The following is a 23,169-nucleotide window of genomic DNA, read 5'->3' on the forward strand; positions in this document are numbered from 1 at the left end:
CTTCTTTTGTGATCTTCAGAAAGAATTTGGTCTTTCTAAGCATAACACATCCTAAAATCCAGAAGTTATAAAAGATTAAATTTGGCTACATAAAGATTAAAAATGCATGTATGACAAAAAGAACAAAGTCAATGTGAAAGAAATACTCAGCAATTAAAAAGGAATAAACTTTTGATACATACAACATGAATCTCAAAAATACTAAGCTAAGTGAAGAAAACATAACACAAAAGACTACTGACTGTATGAATCCATTTATATGAAAGTCTAGAAGAGGAAAAACTATAATGACAGAAAGTAGATTGGGTTGTGAGGCCCCAAGGGGTCCAGAAGAGGGGACTGAGTAAAAGGAACCCAAAGGAATTCTGCGGGGTGAAGAAAATGTTCTATGTCATGAGTGCAGTGATGGTTACGTGACTACATACATTTGTCAAAAGTTACTAAATTATACTTACAATGGGTGACTGCTATTGTATATAAATTATATTCCACCTGAAGCTGACTAAAAATCAAATGAAAAAATGTTTACAATACATATGACTAAGAACTAATTTACTTAATACAAATAATTCTTAAAATAGTAATGAAATAAGAAACAATGTACTAGAAAAATGTGCAGAGAAAATAAGCAGTTCACAGAAGGAAAAATTACAGAGGACCATTAAATTCATGAGGAAATGCCCAACCTCAGTTATACTTTAAGAAATGCCTATCAGGCCGGGCACAGTGGCTCACAACTGTAATCCCAGCACTTTGGGAGGCCAAGGCAGGCGGATCAACTGAGGTCAGGAGTTCAAGACCAGCCTGACCAACATGGAGAAACCCCGTCTCTACTAAAAATACAAAATTAGCTGGGCATGGTGGCACATGCCTGTAATCCCAGCTACTCAGGAGGCTGAGGCAGGAGAATCACTTGAACCCAGGAGGCGGAGGTTGTGGTGAGCCAAGATCGCACCATGGCACTCCAGCCTGGGCAACAAGAGCGAAACTCTGTCTCAAAAAAAAAAACAAAAAACAAACAAAAAACTTGCTGCAAACACTATTTATAGCAACAGTCTATCATAAAACAAAGAAAATAGGAAAAATAATACATACACTTGCACACACAAAGAAAATTTCTGGAAGCTGTGTATCAAACTGTGTTTAGTAAATAACTCTGAGATATAAGGAAGAGAGTAAGGGAAAGATTTTTATTTTTTATTTTTATTTCATTCTGCATTATTTGAACTCTTAAACTATAGAATTGGCACTGTTATTATAAAAAACCCACCTAGTTTAAAAACACAATTATTCTACTTAGTATATTACAACTTTTATGACATGGATTTACCTTTAGCTCTTGGATTTTCTGGCTTCGTCTGTCTCTTAGATTCTTTAACTCTTTCTCATCCCAGCATCTAGCCTTGTATTTTAAGTCACTTGACCCTCCAGAGATCACTCCAGATTTTAAAAATAATGTTCCATCAAGAGCTACTGTCTGTAAAAGTAAAAATATTTTGCCCTGGAGAAATGTACATAAAGATACAAATAAAGACACAATGTGTCAATTTTTAAAGCTAAGAATAAAACATATGAGAAAAGCCACTTACTGAACTTTACTAATAAAATATCTAGTTTATGAAGAGACCCCAAACAATAAACAAACCACAAATATAAAACCCATTTTACTAAGGCCCAAAGCAATTCTAGGCAATAAATTATTGATTTAGTCTTATATCAATATCCGGGTTGGTTCCAATTTTTCCTATTATACACAATGGTTCAGTGAAAAAAGCTTGTACACATATCATTTCATATACATGTAAGCTAATCTACATGCTAAGTTCCTCAAATGTACAAGTGAGATAACTGCCCTTCACAGAACTGGTATAAATTTAGGTTCCCACAGCAGTGAACAGAAGAATCTCTTTCCCCATAAAGTGTTACTAAACATTTTGATGTTGGTCAATCTGACAGGTGAAAATAGTACCTCAGTGTAATTTTAATGGGTATTTCCCATATGAGTGAGGTTGCATTTTCATGTTTAAGAATTATTATATTTCCTCTTATGAAAACAAGTTTGTTCATATCCTTGCCCATTTTCCCACTATATTATTGTTCTTTTCCATAGTGATTTGTAAGAACATCTGCTCTTTACTATGAGCTACAAATATTTTCCCCAGTTTGCCATTTTTCTTTTGATTTTTCTTATGGTAGTCTTTGCCATGCAGAAACTCTTTATTAGGTGAATTCATTCATCTTTTATAGCTTTCGGGTTTTTTGTCATATTGGAAAAGGCTTCCTGTCTCTGAGATTAAGAAAAAATTTCCCAGGCCAGGAGTGGTGGCTCATGCCTGTAACCCTGGCACTTTGGGAGGCAGATCACTTGAGGTCAGGAGTTTGAGACGAGCCTGGCCAACATGGTGAAACCTCATCTCTACTGAAAATAAAAAAATTAGCCAGGCGTGGTGGTGGGCACCTGTAATCCCAGCTGCTCAGGAGGCTGAGGCACGAGAATCGCTTGAACCTGGGAGGCAGAGGTTGCAGTAAGCAGAGATCACACCACTGCACTCCAGCCTGGGTGACAGAGCAAGACTCCATTTCAAAAAAAAAAAAAGAAAAGAAAAAATTTCCCATGGTTTCTCTTAGAAATTTTATGGTTTTACTTTTTAAATTAATATTTCTAATTCATCTGGAATTTATCCTGATACAAGGAAGAGTTTTAGATTAACTATATTTTATTCCAGGTGGTAACCAGCAAAGTGGTACCCTGCACTTTATTCATTATTGTTTAATATGTGCAATTTTGGAAAAAATAATCTTTTCACAAATTTTCCAGCTACTTACTGACATTTTTCTGGGTCTGTTTTTTGCTTCACCATATTAAAAGGGCACAGTATAAATAGATCTTTTTATAATATATATGTTTTAGAGTAACAACCAACCAGTCTATAGGAGAAGAAAATAAATAATTGTATCTCTGGTTAAGTGGAACAGATAGAATAATTACATGTATGTAAAGAGATTCAGGATTTTTAAATTTTGGTACATAAATTTTTTAAATATGTAAAAACTGAGTTATCACTAAAATATGGTGCCCAAACTATAGCTAGCAGAATTGATGTAATCCATATTTGTAGTTTACAGATACTGTATGTAGTTTATACATACTATAGTTTATAAGTAAACAAGTAAACCAAAATATTTAATACTACTTGCAATGTTTGACTAAAGAAAATTCTATAACATGGTATCAAGTATATAGAAAACCAAAAGCACAAATTGCAGATGATTCACCAGATGATTTCTGTGAAAATGTGACATCTATCCAATTGTTTGACCCAATCTAAAACACAGAGAAAATTCTTTCAAAGTTCCTGAGATATAATTAAGATACAAATAAGATACATCTGATTAAAATTTTGAAATACTGATAAAAATAAGATACAATCTGAAGGGGTAAAGATGTTACTGTGAACAAGATAGAAACCATAAATATTTGTTATATGAAGGAATAAGCAATCATATCTTCATGTGACTTCTTTAATTTGACTATACAAATCTTCAAATATCAATTCTATAAAATATACAAATATACAAAAGTCAATGTTAGTGCAGTTAATTAGGCAGAAAAATAAGAAAAACACTTAATAACTTACTACCCTAGCTTAAATTTAACATGTAGAACTCAATGACAGTGATCACATTATGCTTAAGATTATTGATCAGAAACACCAAAATGTATGAAAAATTAATCATGTTAGATAAGTCAATAAATTTAACACTGGAAATCTTCATGTCTCATTAAGAAGTGCCTGCTTTTTGTTAATTTGCAATTCTGGACATTCCAGATTAAGTGTGTTAATTGACTAGTAGGTAATAAAATTACTACCAGTTTTTGAGAGCTATTTGCCAGGCACTATAATAGCATTTTTCATGTTATTACTTAATTTAATTCTCATAACCCTATAAAATAGGTAATATTATTTCCCCAATTTTAGATGAGAAAACTAAAACTAGAGGTTTAGAAACTTCCCTAAAGTCACATAATTAGTTACTAAGTAGCATCACTGGTCTTACTTTATAGCTTATACCCTTAAGCATTATGTGATACTTCATCATAAATGTAGTTTTAAAAAAAAAACTATGTCAGATTATTTGAGTTTAACATTGCTCAACTAAATACAAATATAACTAAATACTCTCTATTCCACTGAGAGTAAAATAGTACTTATTTTTAAGACCAAAATTATTCCCTCAAGATACTTGTATTTAGTAATCTCATTTCAATTGTGTTTTCTAGAAATTCAAATATGTTAAACCTTGAATATGCAAAAGGACAGTTAGTATCTCCACTAAAGTATGGAAGAATTAGCCCACATTGTAAAATAAATACCCAAAATCTTTCCTGGTATTCAAAACCACAGGTACCATATCCAGGGTCCATATAAGGTTTAAAACAACAACAACAACAACAACAACTAACTGCTTTAAGATATTATTAAAAGAAATCTAATTTCCAAAATTATAATTTATGATGTTGAGAAATGCTATAAGAGTTTTTTTTCTAAATTCAACAGAACATTATAAAAACCACTGAAGCCATAACCACCTTAGGTTCTATGTTGGTTCTCTTTAGAAAAAAGAACACATAAAACGCATATGTAAATATTTGTGTGTGTTTGTGTATGCTAGTCTTATAAATACTACTTCAACTTATCCAAAGGTGTGATCCAAGCCTCTTTTCTTACTTTCTGTCTTTCAGGTCCACTGAGTGCAATATGCCTTGCTTCTTCCATAGTCTCACAAACAAGACCATTTCCACACACAAACTGAATCACTTTCTTCAGCTGAGGAAACTGAGTCTTTATGACATCAATCACCATTTTACAGCCTTTAAGCTCCCTTAGTCTTTCATTGATTGGCTTGATCTAAAGGGTTTTAAAATATTTAACATGTTACATACACTGAAATAAAAACCAAATGTTCATTATATTCTTTCTCACAAAACATATATACGCATGGCAGCAAAAGATCAACAGTATGTACCCAGCCAGGCGTGATGCTCACGCCTGTAATCCCAGAATTTTGGGAGGCTGAGGTGGGCAGATCACTTGAGGTCAGGAGTTCGAGACCAGCCTGGCCAACATGGTGAAACCCTGCCTCTACTAAAAATACAGAAAAATTAGCCAGGCATGGTGGCACATGCCTGTAATCCCAGCTACTCAGGAGGCTGAGGCAGGAGACTCGCTTGAACTTGGGAGACAGTAGTTGTAGTGAGCTGAGATCGCGCTACTGCACTCCAGCCTAGGCAACAGAGTGAGACTCCGTCTCAAAAACAAAACAAAACAAAAAAAAGTATGTTATTACATACCATAAAAGATTGATAAGAACATGATGAACTACATCCCATCATTGGTTTGGGTAATATTTTTTAAAAACAAAACTTCATCGAAAGCCACAAGACGTAATTTCCAGTTTCAACTCTGTCATTAACTAGTCAGGATAAAACAATGCATAGGAAGTGTTCCACAAAACACTTTCAAAATCATAAAATCTAGTGAAAAATAATGCCCATTTTAGATATGTGTCAAGAGAGCAGAAAAACACTATGGAATTTAAAAAACCACTTTTGGGCCAGGCGTGTAGCTTACGCCTGTAATCCCAGCACTTTGGGAGGCTGAGGCAGGTGGATCACCTGAGGTCAGGAGTTCAAGACCAGCCTGGCCAACATGGTGAAACCCTGTCTCTACTAAAAACACAAAAATTAACCGGGTGTGGTGGCAGGTGCCTGTAATCCCAGCTACTCAGGAGGCTGAGGCAGGAGAATTGCTTGAACCCGGGAGGCGGAGGTTGCAGTGAGCCGAGATCACGCCATTGCACTCCAGCCTGGGTAACAAGGGTGAGCCTCTGTCAAAAAAAAAAACAGCAAAAAAAACCCACAAACAAAACACTTTTGACTTAAATGATCAGGAAAGCCTTCAGAGCTTCTTAGTCATGACCTTTAGTTTGGGTTTACAACAGATCACAAAGTGTCTGCAATATATTACCAAAACCCAGCAAGTATGATCTCACTTTTTAATAAAACAAAACAAAACAAAGCAGAAAACTCATATACAACTAAAATGTGTGTGTGTATGTGTGTGTATATACATTTGGGAATATGTAGTTATATACATTGAGTGTATGGAAGCAATCTAAAGTAGTTACTACTAAGGAATCAGGCATTATGAAGGGGTAGGAGTATCCCCTTTATATTTGATACACTTCTGTGTAAGATTTTTTAAAAAATGAGTTTGTCTTGGAAAAAACCTCAAGTGAGAAATAAAATAGGATTCTAACAGACAGATGAGATGGGGTAAAGAGTTTTAGTGAGCAGAAGGTAACAACAGTGTGGAAGTACAAAAGGGAGGTCTGGACCATGAGTAACACCAGCCAGCATTTGCTGAGCCCCTCCTCTGTGCAGGTCCTATGCCAGGTGCTTTACAAGTAACAATTCCTTGTAGCAATCCAATAAGGTAAGAATTAATTCTTCCATTTCCACACATGGAAAACTGATGCTCAGAAAAATTAAGAATAGGACAGGCGTGATGGCTCACGCCTGTAATCCCAGCACTTTGGGAGACCGAGGCAGGCGGATCACCTGAGTCGGGAATTTGAGACCAGCCTGACCAATGTGGAGAAACCCCGTCTCTACTAAAAATACAAAAAAAAGAAAAAAAATCAGCCGGGCGTGCTGGCACATACCTGTAACCCAGCTACTTGGGAGGCTGAGGCAGGAGAATTGCTTGAACCCGGAAGGTGGAGGCTGCAGTGAACCAAGATCGTGCCACTGCACTCCAGACTGGGCGAAAGAGCAAGACTCTGCCTCAAAAAAAAAAAAAAAAAAGAAAAAGAAAAAAGAAAAAAAAAAGAAAAATTAAGACTATATTAAGTAACTGCTAATTAGAAGTAGGGCTGAGATTCAAACTCAGAGCAGTCCAGCTCTAAGGCATGTGCTCTTAACTATTACGCAGACTGCCTGCAATTCAGGGTCTTGACTGGTGAACCAAAGAGAACATTTTCTTGAGTAATCAATGAAAAATCACTGAAGGATATCAATCATGATATGACAGAGTTCCTGCTTCATGAATTTAGACTCAGGATATGTTAAGGTATCTCAATACATACCTCAAGGCTCAAAATTTAGCCTTTTCCACAAAGAGCTAACACACTGGGTCAAACATTTACAATTGAGGCTGAGTTGGCATTTCCAACAGACCATACGTCTTATCCATTTCCTATACTTTGCTATATAGGACAGAATATATTGCTGGCTAATAGGTAGAGTGGTGCACTGCTAGTGCAATGAAATCAAAGGTAGAATTCTGTAAAAACTAGATAGGGAAGAAATGGTATGATGTCAAGAAAGAGAGTAGCCACTTGATATTATTCTTTGCTTGCCAATATATTTAACACCAGCCATTAAAATGATTGCCTAACTGGCATCCAAGCTACAATTTTTCTCTATCACTATCATAGTTTTAGGCAATAAGATCATTCTTTAAAAGACAAGATTTTTATCACTATAAATACCAGGCATTACAAAGTTCTTACATCAAGGTAATCTAGAGCGAGGAATGTCTCAGGTTCAGCTCTTTCCTCCTTCAGAAATCGAATACAATCTTTTGCTACCTTTTCAGAGGCTACAACAATGGCAGTGATGAACCGGCCAAAAACCTTAGTAACAGCCAGCTGGTATTTCTTATGAATAGGATGACACAGGTCAAATAGTCTTCCAAACTTAGCAGGTTTCAAAAAAGGAGAGAAAAACAGATATATTAGAGTGAAATATATAATTCATTATTTTCTAATGTAACAAAGTAGCGCAGACAAAAACTAATTTTATAAAATTACATACATCATAATTAATAGAGTTTTATTCAAATAGACCTAAGTTTCATTATGCAATGTCCATCTAGCTATGTAACACTTCATTTAAAAAAAGAGTAACAAAGAGGGACTAGCCTTACCAAAATATTAAAATATTTTCTAAAACTACACAATTAAATAATATTCATTTATTCCCTGACCTATTAAACAAGAATCTATAAGGGACCTACTATTGCAGGTACTGAGCTAGATACTGGATAAAACATAAATGAACAAAGCAGATACTTTCTGACCTCACAGAATTTTCAGTCTAGTGAGGAAGACATAAATAATCAATAATCACATGTATGTACAAAATGGAGCTAGACACTGACAGAGAGTGCTCTGAGAATATTTAACAGGGACCAGGTTGGTATAAGAAGTCTAGGAAGGATTTCCAGCTGGGCGTGGTGGCTCACGCCTGTAATCCCAGCATTTTGGGAGGCCGAGGCGGGCAGATCATGGGGTCAAGAGATCGAGACCATCCTGGTCAACATGGTGAAACCTTGTCTCTACTAAAAATACAAAAATTACTGGGCGTGGTGGCGCACGCCTGCAGTTCCAGCTGCTCGGGAGGCTGAGGCAGGAGAATCGCTTGAACTCGGGAGGCAGAGGTTGCAGTGAGCCGAGATCATGCCACTGCACTCCAGCCTGGCAACAGAGCAAGACTCCATCTTAAAAAAAAAAAAAAAAAGTCTAGGAAGGATTTCCATGAAGTGTTACTTGAGCTGAGACCTGAAGAATGGTCAAGAATTAATTAGACTGAAGTTCAAAAACTTTACTAGAAAATGTTTGAATGTCAAGCATCATGTATCAGTGGTCTCTAGAATATTTGAAGGTTTAATTTTGTATCTTTGGACTCTTTCCTCCGTTTGTTAGGTTCTACTTCAAGAATACCATTTTCCTATGATAAACCATCACTGTCTTTGCTGTTTAAATATCTTTGACTTTTTCTTCTCCATTAATTTGTGATTATCTCAGGCCTTTCTTCAGGGTCAATAATTTGATTTTCAGCTGTGTAATCCATTATTTGCTACCTTTTTTTTTTTTTTAAAGAGATGAGGTCTTGCTATGTTGCCCAGGCTGGTCTCAAACTCAAGTATTCTCCTGCCTCAGCCTCCGAGTAGCTGAAACTATAGGCGCACACCATCACGCCTGGCAGCTACTTCTAATTTATTAGTATTTCTTGCTATTAATGCTTCTAATTTGTTAATTTGTCTATGTTATTTATTACTTACATGCTAACTATAATTATTCAGTAATAATGCCTATTCTTGATTTGTTTTCACAGCTTACATTTTCCTTTTTATCTTATTGTTTTACCTCATATTTGAATCTAGTTTTATAAATTCAAGTTCTTATTAAATTGCCCATAGTGCAAAACATTTATGGGGATTTTGTTCTGTAACCTTCTAGACTGGGCTCTTTGACTTCTAAATGTTTTAAAATAGTTTCTTTCTCTTTGTTGTTATTATATGTACCTATAGCTGCCACAGTGATTCTTTTCACTTTGCTTATGTTTAATGTGAGTAGCTCTGTTCAGATCTTTGATTTGCTATGGCGGATAACTTTTATTAATTCCCTTTCTCACAGAAGTGAGACAATCACCTCCTCCGAGCAACAGTTGATAGAATAAGTATTTCCTATTCTGTTTACTTTCTTGTAAGGGATTGGATGGTAGGGGCAAGTGAGAACTCACCTAAGACTTTTAAAGAACATACTTCATTTAAGTACCTGAATTCTCTCGTCTGAGTTTTTAATTAATATCCCATACCAAGGTTCTTCTACTTTGAGGGAGGAGGACAAATCCCATCTTGAAGAGAGGGCTTCAAAATGGCCTCTCAATTTTAAAGCCCTAGTAAGTGAGAACTTGGGTCTTCACTTCCATTAGAGAGCATATGAGCTTCACATTCCCCAATTCACCAGTGTTTTTTTGTTTTTGTTTTTTTGAAACAGTCTCACTCTGTCACCCAGGCTGGAGCGCAGTGGTGCTCACTGCAACCTCTGCCTCCCGGGTTCAAGCAATTCTCCTGCCTCAGCCTCCCAAGTAGCTGGGATTATAGGCATGCACCACCACGCCCAGCTAAATTTTTTGTATTTTTAGTAGAGACAGTGTTTCACCGTGTTGGCCAGGCTGGTCTCAAACTCCTGACCTCAAGTGATCCATCCACTTCGGCCTCCCAAAGCGCTGGGATTACAGGCACCCAGTTCACCAGTTTTTAAATCTCTCTCCAGTTAGAAGAGGAAAAGGAAACACATACATGTGAGTTTGCTTCTTGCTAGATCAAGGAATACTAGGTGAGAATTCTCAGGAATTAGTCAATTTATCAGTTCAGCTTCTGTGGAGTTGAGAAAAAGCAATGCTATACTTCAATACTTTTTTTTTTTTTTAAATCCTAGATTATCACCATTTTCTAAAGTTTATGGCATCAGGTCGATTTTTTTTTTAACTAGTTGTGTGTGTGTGTGTGTGTTTCACTAGTTTTTGTCACTTGGATAGGAATTGGGGGATCTAGATTTTGTGACCTAGATTTACTCCTCCATCATTATCCAGAAGTCGAAACCAACATTTAGGAGTCAGAAAGTCAAAACAGATGCTATAAAGGAGATGAAGATGGGTGGCCAGAGACATAGGAGGAAAACCATGAAAGTGTGGATATGGAGGCCAATGGTAGATGTTTCCTTTTTTTTGGAGACAGAGTCTCACTCTGTGGCCTAGGCTGGAGTGCAATGGTGTGATCTCAGCTCACTGCAAACTCTGCCTCCCGGGTTCAAGCGATTCTCCTACCTCACCCTCCTGAGGAGCTGGTATTATAGGCGCCTGCCACAATGTGCGGCTACTTTTTGCATTTTTAGTAGAGACAGGGTTTCACCATGTTGGCCAGGCTGGTCTCAAACTCCTGACCTCAGGTGATCCACCAGCCTCAGCCCCCTAGAGTGCTAGGATTATAGACGTGAGACACTGCCCTGGCCGGTAGGTGTTTCAAAACAGAGCAGTGGTTACCAGTCTCAAATGCTGAAAACAGGCCATATCATAAAATAAGGACTGCACAGTATACACTGATGTTAGGGACAAGAGGATCAGATGCCACCCCGATACAAAAGGAAATAATCTTGTGATGCTGGCACCCCAAGCAACAAGTGATACTGTATTTTGGCTAATGAAATACACTAGCAATACCAGATGCACAGTCATACTTACAGAATAAAAATATGCCAATGATGTCTGCTGAAAAAATATTTCAAAAACAAATAAAACCATGAAAAACATGAGGTTTGAGGCTATGTGTCTGGGTGGCTCAGAGTACTTCACAGCATCCAGGTCCTTTTGGGGATACTGGCCACAATTTGAACTTTCTGGGTACTATGTTCATGTCAAGCTTCTCCCCAATAATTACGTTATCTACAGCTACTACTGGAAGTTTTACCCTAATTAGTTACTGTCACATTTTAAATATAAAGAGTCAAACACAAAACTTAAAGATGTCTGAAATAATATTGCTTTGTAATAATGGTAATATTTCTAATCCCAAATGAGAAGATACTGTTGAAAGCAAACAGGAAAGCTTAGTTTTTTTTGTTTAAATTAACTATTCATTCTCATTACCACAGAATCTGGGTACAGTCTTTTAAGGTGTTCCAGAACCTCTGCTCTCTTTTGCTGACGTTTTCCCTCATGGGTATCAATCCCAGCATTCTGCAATTCACTTCTAATAAGATTCAATTCTTCATTAACTTCAGACATTCTTGATTTTGTTTTTTCAATTTCATCCACTAGGGTTTCCTCTTGCTGTTTTTTCTCTTTCAAGCAATCCCTACAAAATAACAACAAATTATACAGCAAAATGATAAACCAAAATTTAGGAATTACCAGGTACAACATACTCCTGTCTGGCATTGCAGGGGAATAGAGCAGTGCTCTATCAATTTTTAAAGGGTAAAAAATGCAATAAACCTGACACCAAACATGGGCAAAAAAGATTTTGCTCATTCTTTGTTGATTTGAAAAATGTGGCTGGGCCAGGTGGCTCACTCCTGTAATCCCAGTACTTTGAGAGGTTGAGTGGGTGGCTGGCTTGAGTCTAGGAATTTGAGACCAGCCTGGCAACATGGCAAAAACCTGTCTCTACAAAATACAAAAAAAAAAAATTAGCCAGGTGTGGTGGCACACACCTGTAGTACCAGCTATTCAGGGGGCTGAGGTAGGTGGATCACTTGAGCCCAGTGGGTGCAGGCTGCAGTAAGCCATGATCACGCAACTGCACTCCAGTCTGGGTGAGAGTGAGACCCTGTCTCAAAAAAAAAGGAAGAAATACATAAATAAGAAAGCTGCAAGGGGTGCGATGGCTCACACCTGTAATCCCAGCACTTTGGGAGTCCGAGGAGGGTGGATTGCTTGGTCCAGGAGTTCAAGATCAGCCTGGGCAACATGGTGAAACCCCATCTTTACCAGAAATAGAAAAAATTAGCTGGGTGTGGTGGCATGTGCCTGTAGTCTCAGCTACAGGCTGAGGTAGGAGCGTCATGTGAGCCCCGGAAGTTGAGGCTACCGTAAGCCATGACTGCGCCACTGCACTCTGGCCTGGGCGATGGGAGTGAGACCCTCTCTCAAAAAATAAAAGAAAATTGCTGCAAGAAATTTTTTTTACTCTACCTACATGCATGTCTTTGTATACTCCTCTAACTTCTCTATTCGTTTTTTATGATCTTCTATTTGTTCTTTTATTTGTTTTAGATTTCCCTAAAAGAGGAAATAAAATCTAAAATCAATTACGGCAATTCCAAACCAACAAAATTACATGCCTAGAACTTACTATAATATTATAAGCTGTTATAAAATTGAAAGATATCAAATATAATTATATGAAAACACTTATCAGAGCAAATTACAGATCAGGGTTCAACTCCTGAATCTTTACCATTTGCTAGATATTTGATCTCTAGCGATTTCTCTCTGTAACTTCAAACTTCAAGGAGATTATTTTCAAATATCTATATAGTTCTTACCCCTTAACTAATGTACTGAACAAATATATTAGGTTGGTACAAAAGTACTGCAATTACTTTTGCAACAATCTAAATATATTCACTGGCTACCATGTGATAGGAACTAGAGGTACAGAAATAAGCAGGAAAGAGTCCCTGCCCTCAAAGAACTAATGTCTGGTAGGAGAGACAGATAATTAAATAAGTAATTATAGTAGAGTGGTTTTGTGTTATAATAATATAGGCACCTGTAGGGCAACTAATAGCCTTGTGGATGAGGATTTCGGGAAAGTTTTGTTCTATTCACTTTATCATTAAATCCAACTGGAGACTACCACAAGTCTTCTCCATCTGTCTGCAACTACATGTGTTCTTCTTGTTTTTTTGTATTCAAAAGACAACAGCAATTCAACCAACACTTATTGACATCTACTAAGTGCAAGGTTTACAATGGACACAATTAGAATCCTGCCTTTAATAAGCTTCCAGTCCAGTAGAGAGGTACCAATTAATTTTAATTTTTATGCGATCTGACAAAAGCCCTTAGATATAGATAAAAAATTGACTGGGCACGGTGGCTCAGGCCTGTAATCCCAGCACTTTGCAAGGCTGAGGAGGATGGATCACCTGAGGTCAGGAGTTCAAGACCAGCCTGACCAACATGGAGAAACCCTGTCTCTACTAAAAATACAAAATTAGCCAAGCATGGTGGCGCATGCCTGTAATCCCAACTACTCAGGAGGCTGAGACAGGAGAATTGCCTGAACCTGGGAGGCGGAGGTTGTAGTGAACCGAGATCGCGTCATTGCACTCTAGTCTGGGCAACAAGACCGAAACTCCGTATCAAATAATAATAGGTAGTTATATGAGGAAGAAATTATTTTTGGCTTTTTTAGGAGCTGGGATATAAAGAAAAGGAGGGCCAGGGAAGGCTTTGCGGTGTTGGTAACTCTAGATTTTAACATGTAAAGATGAATAGGTTATTCCAAAAAGAAACTAGCATGTACAAAGGCAAAAATGTCCAATGTGTATTTTCATAAATCAGTGTATAATTTTATAACATATCAATTACACAATTATACAAATGTTTTAAAAGTAATTCCTGCTATGTTACCACCTTTGTTTTTCTCCTTGCACAAAATGCCTCTTCTACTCACAGAACTATCACAGATTATGGCTATTATATTTGTATCTTCATCTGCCAAATCATGAAATAAATGAAATGAGACAGTATAGTGTAAGGTTAAGGAGATTCATTCTGGAGACAGGTACAAAAAGGAAATAAAATTTCATTAAGAATGATTCTAAATCATTACTGTACAACCCAAGACACCTGAACTTCTCCATGCCTCCTCTTTTCAAATGCCAGTCTTTCTTCATCTGTCTTCTGTTCCCACTGCAGTTTTTCCAGTTGTTGAGTCATTGTAGCTACTTTCTTTCTTACTTGTTCCTTAAGTTCTTTATAACGATCCAGCTGCATAAACAGTATTGAAAAATTGCTAATTCACCTTAAGAAGCATGAGAGCAAATTTCTTTGTATGAAATCCTGTACTAGAAGATAATTAATCTTCCCAAAAGCTTGCTTTATATAAATTAAATCATAATCGACCACCTTCCCCCGGTAAAATAATGTGAGCATGAAAGCTTCCTTTAAAAAAACTGTTTATTATTTATTTATTTATTTATATTTGAAACTTATTTATTTATTTATTTTTATTTTGCCCAGGCTGGAGTACAGTGGCACAATCACGGCTCACTGCAGCTTTGGCCTCCTGGGCTCAAGTGTTTATCTTATTATTCATAAGGTAATCATTTTTTCCTCTCATAAACACTTAAAGATACATGTGGCTTTGAGGAGACATGATCACTTAATTGACAAGAAGGAAACTGATTACTTAAGGTGCTTTAAAATGTTCAGTGATGAATTAATCTCTAACTTATTATACAAGATTTAATTATAATAAATCACTAGATGGCAAAAACATGTAATCGACAAACAACCACATTTTTATCGTTTATCTCTTTTATCAATTTTATGATAATCTTATATCACAAATATACCAAATACCAAAACAATTATGACTATATATACCAAAATAATTATAACTATATAAGTAGAAAAAAATATATCATTTTCTCTGGATTCTCCTTTCTCTTTTAAGATTTTTGGACAGAGACCTTAGTATAGAGGTTTTTGTTGCTCTATTTTAAACAGTCTTTTAGGCCAGGCACAGTGGATCATGCCTGTAATCCCAGCACTTTGGGAAGCCGAGGCAAGAGGATCACTTGAGCCCAGGAGTTTGAGACCAGCCTAGGCAACACAGTGTGACCTCATCTCTACAAAAAATTTAAAAATTAGACAGGTGTGGTAGCATGCGCCTGTAGACGGGAGGATCAATTGAGCCCAGGAGTGACACTGCAGTGAACTATGATTGATAGCAGCAGGAGACAGACAAATCCTAGACAGACAGGGGTGGGTCCCCAGTGAAACCTGACCTTCAAGCCAAAGACAGTTTAAAGCCTAGCTACAAGTGCTGGGTAAATCCACAGACAAGACTGAGAAACTCTCTTGCTGTTTGGTGTGCTTACCTCTGATTGATCCCTACCCTTCACCTATTTTACATACACCTACCCTTCCCTAATTGGTTTTTCACATTGTTGTACCCACTTTAGGGTGGTGCCGTTGTTTTAGCCTTTTTTTGCATACTCACAAACCAATCAGCACACATTCCTCCATTCTGAGTCCATAAAAGCCCCAGACCCAGCTACACTGGGGGAGAAACCACCTGACTTCAGGTAGTGGATGACCTCTTGCATCCCCTCTCTGCTGAGAGCTGTTTCATAGCTCAATAAAATTCTTCTTTGCCTTCCTCACTCTTCGATTGCCAGTGTAGCTTCATTCTTCTTAGACACAGGACAAGAACTGAGGACCCACTGAACGTGGGTACACAGAAGGCTGAAACACTGTGGCCCTCTGCCCTCTGCTGGCAGAGGGCAGCTGCCCCACATGACAGGAAGCAGTGGTGGGGCCGAGCAAGCCCCAGAGCTGAGGGCCAGAGTGGGTCAAGAGGCTGACAGAGCTGTTAACATGCCTTCGGACGTGCATCCTTCAGGCTGCAGACAGGACTAAAGAGCTGATTAGCACACTGTAACACCCCCTCTGGGGCTTTGGGGTCAGGAGCACCCTTGCCTGGGTGCCACTGTGTTCCCCTCATCTGGGCGCCAGAGCCCACTGTGGAAGTGGCTTGCAACACACCTGGTCCAGCTCCAAGCACCACATGAAGCCTGCTTCTGTGCCGGTACTTGGAACAGCTGGCTGGAAACTAAACTTGCTCGCTCACACACCCTCTTCTGCTGGGGGCTGAGTGAGCAGTCGTGGCAGCTGTGGGATTCGCGCCAGAGTGCAGGCCAGGTGCGGCCTGGCAGGCTGACAGGGTGTCTCCTGCAGTGAACGTGGGACCAAGCAAGGCCTGAGCAAGGGCGTCACCAACTGAGGGTCTCTGGCTGACAAAGTGACTGAGAAAAATCCTGCATCGGCCGGGCATGGTGGCTCACGCCTGTAATCCCCGTACTTTGGGAGGCCAAGGCAGGTGGATCACCAGAGGTCGGGAGTTTGAGACCAGCCTGACCAACATGGAGAAACCCCGTCTCTACTAAAAATACAAAATCAGCCAGGCATGGTGGCGCATGCCTGTAATCCCAGCTACTCAGGAGGCTGAGGCAGGAGAATCGCTTGAACCCATAAGGCGGAGGTTGCAGTGAGCCAAGACCACACCATTACACTCCAACCTGGGCAATAAGAGCGAAACTCCATCTCAAAAACAAACAAAAAAAAATCCTGCATCATGATTATGCCACTGCACTCCAGCCTGAGTGACAGAGCGAGACCCTCTCTCTACAAAATTAAAATTAAAAATAAATAAATCTAGTTCTGTATACAGGCTGAAAAATTTAAATCCCCACAATTTACATTGAGGATAATCTCTTAAAATATCAGAGAGGTCATCTTTTAAATTTTTTTCTAATTCAAAGCAGCTGAAATAATAGAAACACAAGATTTCCCCTAAGTTGTCCTTTTTTACCTGACTGGCTTCCAGTTCAATGTCTCGCTTTTTATGTAAAATTTCTTCCTCAATCTGCTTTTCAAAACTTCTCCATGCAGCATCTAAATCAGCCAGCTCTGTCTCCAGGGCTTTTATATCATCTTCCTGTTTAGAACATTGTTTTTCGCTGTCCTTTATTGATTTCTTAGCCACATCTAATTTCTTAAGGTGGTGAGAAGTGTTTTCTTTGGCTTTAATGTACTGAGGCCTCTTCTGATTTAAAAGGGTTTCAACCGATCTGAAAAGGGAAAAATGTTTGCTTTAAAGAAAATTTCATTTCTTTAATATATAAAGGGAAGAAGTTGTTTTGATCAAACCACTTTAAAAAAGAAATCCTAAAAATCAACTTTCAGAGACTGTAAGCAGATCAATGGTTGCCAAAGGTTGAGCAAGGTCAGGGGGAGGGATGAATAAAGCACACGGTCACTTTTGAGAGTGGTACTGTAGTGGTAGACACTTGACACTATGAATTTGCCAAAACCTGTATTACTTTACAGCACCAAGGATGAACCTTAATGTAAGCAAATTAAAAAAGAATCACTCAGGAGGCTAAGGGATCCTATATGGAATGTAGAATGCAATAAAAAATCTAACTTTATTATAAATGTAGAAACAGCCTTACTGAAGGGGTGGAAGGAAAACATGCTGACCTAATTCTAGAAATGAGTGGAGTCTGTAAGACTAAAAGCAAAAGAATTGTATATAAGTACTATACTGTAGTTACAAAGATGCTTTCCATGGGGGTACGGGTTAACAATTCTGACGCTATTACACGTGATTACTGGAAATGCACAATTAAGCAAATGGATGGCAGATGGTAGAAGCCAGATTTCCCATTGTTGAAGTGGGAGGTTACAGATAAGCAAGAGAAGGCTAGAATGATTAATGTGGTAATGGCTTAGAATTGGGAGACATCAATATGAACTCATGTTTAGCTTAATATAGATGGTCACATATGAAAATATTTATAGCTATGTGTATAAATAGTATACACAGGTATTTCCTAGTTCCAACAGCTGAGAAAGCCTAGAAGCAAGGACACTCCAGTAGCAACGAACACACCTACCACCTAGATGTTGGTTCCTAATACTGTTCTCCGATAAAAGGAACCAGGGTTCCTTGGAGAGCCTGGGGCAGGCTCATACAAGCTGGGGCAAGCTGATGCTTGGACTGGCTTATACAAGATGACAGTAGAAGATACTTATCTTCTAGAAAGTAAGGAAGAGCTCCAAAAAAAAATCACAGTAATGAGAATATTTCAAAGGGACACAGGAGCCAACTCAAAGAGTTCTCAGTGGCCACAGCAGGAACAATCTAAGCAACAAAATCAACAATGTAATACTGGATTATAACTCTAAATGTAAAATATCCATAAATCTATACTGATGTAAACAAATAACAATTAATTTAATTTTAAAATAATTAAGTAGAGACAAATCTGTGCAGAATTCCAAAAAAATCATGTAGATACTTTGCCCTCAAGGTAAAACATAACTCTCCTTACTCCTTAAGTGTGGGCTAAGCATAGTGACTTCCTCTCAAAGATTATAGTATGAAAAGGGAGAAAAAATAACCTCACAGAGGAGAAACATGACAAAAACTACTTCAGTCAGGTGATCAAGGTCAACATCAACAGTGATACCATGTTGATATGACACATGATATAGTACATGATAAATGTCATGTAACATATATAATACACTGACACTCTGATAGAATATAATGAGAAGGACATTTTACTTCTGTGGGCTTCCTCCCCACAGTCTGTATCTTCAGTCTAATTATGTGAAAACCATCAGACAAATCCGGATTGAAAGATGTTCTATAAAAAAACTGACCAATATTCCTCAAAATTGTCAAGTTCATCAAAAACAAGAACTGTCACAGCTAAAAGGTGCCTAAGGAGACATATAACTAAATGTAATATGGTATTCTGGATCATAAAAAGGACATTAGGCAAAAGCTGAGAAAATATGTATAAAGTATGGACTTTAGTTAATGTATCAATATTAGTTTATTAATTCTGACAATGTATCATAATAATGTAAGATATTAATAATAGGAGAAACTGAGTGTTGGGAATATGGGACTGATACAGGGGCTAAAAATAAATTATTTAGGCAGATAGTGAAGGTTAAGAGAGTCCTCAGCAGAGCTTCCCTTTTAACGAAAAGCAGCCCCAAAATCATTTCTTTTCTAACAAAGAGGAGCCTGAAAAATTAGGCTACAAATGGGGTACATAAGCAAGCTGGAAGCTTACACGAGTGAATGCCGGCAGCTGAGCCAATAGAAAAGGGGTACTCAGAAGCCAGCTATGTTCAACATGAAGGCTCCATCTTCCCTTTTCTTTGTCACCACGTGTACAGTAGAAAAGCTGGCAAACATGGCGCCAGCCAGGTACAGAATCTGCATAATAAAAAATTAGGGTGGGATGGCCAGCTTCTTTGTGCACTATGCAAATGGCACATCTAGTCCTAAGCGGTTCTTCACGTGCTATGCAAATGGAATACCTGATCTGAACAACCCTTCATGCCCTAAATCAGACACCGCCTCCTCAAGCTCATCTATAAAACCGCCTGTACTTCACTGTGGACCAGAAGACCCAATTGGGAGCCCCTCTCTCTGCATGAGAAAGCTTTTCTCTTTCTTTCACCTATTAAACCCACTCTTAACCTCACTCCTTGTGTGTCTGCATCCTTGATTTCCTTGCTGTGAGGCAATGAACCTCGGGTATTACCCCAAACACCACCACTTCAGGACCATTCTACACCACCTTTTTTTTTTTTGAGATGGAGTCTCACGCTGTTGCCCAGGCTGGAGTGTAGTGGCGTGATCTCGGCTCACTGCAAGCTCCACCTCCCAGGTTCATGCCATTCTCCTGCCTCAGCCTCCCGAGTAGGTGGGACTACAGGTGCCTGCCACCATGCCCAGCTAATTTTTTGTATTTTTAGTAGAGACGGGGTTTCACCGTGTTAGCCAGGATGGTCTCGATCTCCTTACCTCGTGATCCACCTGCCTCAGCCTCCCAAAGTGCTGGGATTACAGGCATGAGCCACCACACCTGGCCTATACTATCTTTATAATTTTTCTGTATATCTAAAAGTATTCCAAAGTAAAAAGCTTATTTTTAAAATCAATTTTCAAAGTGTCACTTATATTATTCCCTCTATCAAGCTACATATAACCCAACTGTTAATATCTACTTTTAAAAACTCACTTTAATTCTTTTTCTGTTTGTTGTAGTTGTCTAGTTAGCATTCCATGTTCCTTTTTCCTGGCTTTAACTATGTTTTCATGATGAGACAAAGACTCTCTTTTGACACTCAAATCCCTATTCACATGCTCTAACTTGGTGTTCAGGAGATGAATCTTTTTCTCATTATGGTATAGTTGAAAAAGCTGCAGTTGTATCTTGTTCATTTTCAGTTCTTCAAGGAGACTCTGGTAACGTTCTGCCTATAAAAGAGTATAATTCAACAGCAGTTAAAAGGGAGTGTATTTAAGTTGGCCTTTCATAAACTCAACTACTATACCAACAAATTAACTAATGAATGTTTATTTATTAGGACATAATGTTCTTGCCAAAAGTAGCATAATTTGGCGAGGGTTTCTGAATATACTTTTTAAATAACCCAATACACCAGCAAATGATTTTGTGTTCTTGCGCTCAGTGGTATGATGATGAGAACAAAGAAGTGGCATGCATTAGCCTGGGTCCCTTTTGTCTGGACCTGTGAGTTTCACAACTCAATCAGTATTTCTGGCATCAGCTTCCTCCTTTGTAAACTGAAAGAAGAGTGTGATATGACTTATAAGGTGCTAGTAACTTTAAATTCAATGACTCCAGGAAAAATTCCTACTACAGGAAGTAGTTTTTCTACCGATAAAACAGGACTCTTACAGTGCTAAATTATATGTGAAAAATAATAATTTCCTTAACATTTGTGCTATTAAAGAAATAAAGGAACAGGCTACCTCAAGAGGAGCTCCTAATCAATATTGGAAGTATTCAAAGTAACAGGCTATCCACTAGGATGTTGTAAAAAACAATTAGGAAGTTGTTTCGTTCTAACTGTCCTTAAAATGTTTAAATTTTGCAGTTCAGTATATTGTGATTATTATAGTCTGACTTCCACTGCTGCCACTCCTTTCCACTAACAAAACCAAGGACATGTATACATATTAGAAAACATGAAGACACAGAGAAACATCACTAATAAGAAACATCCACTTTCCATTTACTTCTTCAAATATGTATTGAGTATCTACTATGAGCCAGGTGCTGGTCTATGCATTGAGAATATAGCAGAAAATAAGACAGACTATCCCTGATCCTGTTTGTTTGTTTGTTTGTTTGAAACAGAGTTTTGCTCTCTCACCCAGGCTGGAATGCAATGGCACGATCACAGCTCACTGTAGCCTCGACCTCCTGGGCCCAAGAGATCCTTCTGTGTCAGCCTCCTGAGTGGCTGGAAAGACAGGCGTGTGCCACCACACCAGGCAAAGTTTTTTATTTTTATTTTTGTAGAGATGAGGTCTCACTATGTTGCCCAGGCTAGTCTCGAACTCCTGGGCTCAAGGGATGCTCCCACCTTGGCCTCCCAAAGTACTGGGATTAAAGATGTGAGCCACCATACCCAGCCCAACCCTGCTCTTGTGCAATTTATATTACAGTTATTCTAATGGGGAGAAGAGAGGAAGAAAAGTCAGAGAATAAACACAAGGACTAAACTCTGATCTTTTTTCTTCTCTTGCCCAAATTTCTATCTAAGGAGCCTGGGGAGTCTGCTCTACAAAGTTTCATCAGAGGGTGTTTTTTGTTTGTTTGTTTGTTTGTTTGTTTTGAGACAGAGTCTCACTCTGTCGCCCAGGCTAAAGTGCAGTGGTGCAATCTCGGCTCACTGCAACCTCTGCCTCTTAGCTTCAAGTGATTCTCCTGCCTCAGCCTCCTGAGTAGCTGGGATTACAGGCATGTGCCACCACGCCCAGCTAATTTTTGTATTTTTAGTAAAGACAGGGTTTCTCCATGTTGGCCAGGCTGGTCTCAAACTCCTGACCTCAAGTAATCCACCTGCCTCGGTCTCCCAAAGTGTTGGGATTATAGGCATGAGGCGCCATGCCTGGCCAGAGGGGTTTTATTCACCCTATATCATATAGCTTACTTTCCAACCTGATGCTGGCATAGTATCACATGACAGATAAGGAAGGAAATTAAAATATTTTAACTGCAAATATGTTTCTTTGCCATATCTTGAAATAGCCGTGCAAAGTTGTCTCTTGTGGGGAAAAAAATCTACATTCTGTAGAGAATCCCCTTTCCCTTTTCCAAACCTTTTTTCCTGAACCAGGAGACAACCAACTAAGAGTCCCATACCTTTTCAAGTCTGATAAGAAACATTTACAATGTATTCTCTCTGAAGCCTGCTACCTGGAGGCTTCCTGTGCATAACAAGAACATTGGTCTCTACAATCCGTTATCTTAATCCAGACATTTCCTTTCTATTGATTCCAGGTCTTTAGCTAAAACTCTTTCAATCAATTGCCAATCAGAAAATCTTTGAATCCACCTATAACCTGGAAGCCCTGGCTCCCCCTCCTTTCCAGAATGAAGCAACATACATCTTACAAGTATTGACTGATGTCTTATGTCCCCCTAAAATGTATAAAACCTAGCTGTGGCCCAACCACCTTGGGCACATGTTCTCAGGATCTCCTTAGAGCTGTGTCACAGGCCATGGTCACTCATATTTGGCACAGAATAAATCTCTTCAAATATTTTACGGAGTTTGACTCTTTGTTGACAGACAAGCAAACAAATAATAAACAAGATAATTTTATACAGCAATAAACGCTACAAAAGAAACAAAATAGGGTAATGTGCTAGTACAAGGGAGGGGGTGCTAATTTAGATTGGAGGAATGAACAGTAAATGCCTACCTGAGAAAATGGCTTTTTAATAAAAACATGAATGAGAGACTACCAGGTATGTAAAATCAGGCACACAGCTATCTAGGCAGAGGAAATAGCAAAAGCCCCAGAATAGAAAGGAGTTTGGTGTGTTCAACACATAATAAAGGTCAAGGTGGTAGCAAAGCATAGGAAGTTAAGGCTCAAGAGGTAAACAGAGACAAGGCTAGTACGCCTTATAAGAGACAAGATTCTTGGCCAGGCGCGGTGGCTCACGCCTGTA

General features: G+C 38.4%; 1 protein-coding gene across 5 annotated transcripts in view; it reads right to left on the minus strand.

Annotated features, from left to right (window-relative positions):
* Positions 1-23,169, minus strand: part of SMC1B (structural maintenance of chromosomes 1B) — a 69,537-nt gene that overhangs the window by 38,074 nt on the left and 8,294 nt on the right. For all 5 annotated transcript variants that reach the window (NM_001291501.2, NM_148674.5, XM_011530144.3 and 2 more), the window contains exons 5-12: positions 20,197-20,435; positions 16,959-17,217; positions 14,210-14,350; positions 12,549-12,631; positions 11,498-11,705; positions 7,576-7,761; positions 4,731-4,910; positions 1,331-1,477 (exon numbers count right to left, since the gene is read on the minus strand). In NM_001291501.2, the coding sequence (NP_001278430.1) occupies positions 1,331-1,477; positions 4,731-4,910; positions 7,576-7,761; positions 11,498-11,705; positions 12,549-12,631; positions 14,210-14,350; positions 16,959-17,217; positions 20,197-20,435 (1,443 nt within the window). The remainder of the gene's footprint in view (positions 1-1,330; positions 1,478-4,730; positions 4,911-7,575; positions 7,762-11,497; positions 11,706-12,548; positions 12,632-14,209; positions 14,351-16,958; positions 17,218-20,196; positions 20,436-23,169) is intronic.

Source organism: Homo sapiens, chromosome 22 (genome assembly GCF_000001405.40).
Source record: "Homo sapiens chromosome 22, GRCh38.p14 Primary Assembly".
Classification (NCBI taxonomy): Eukaryota; Metazoa; Chordata; class Mammalia; order Primates; family Hominidae; genus Homo; species Homo sapiens.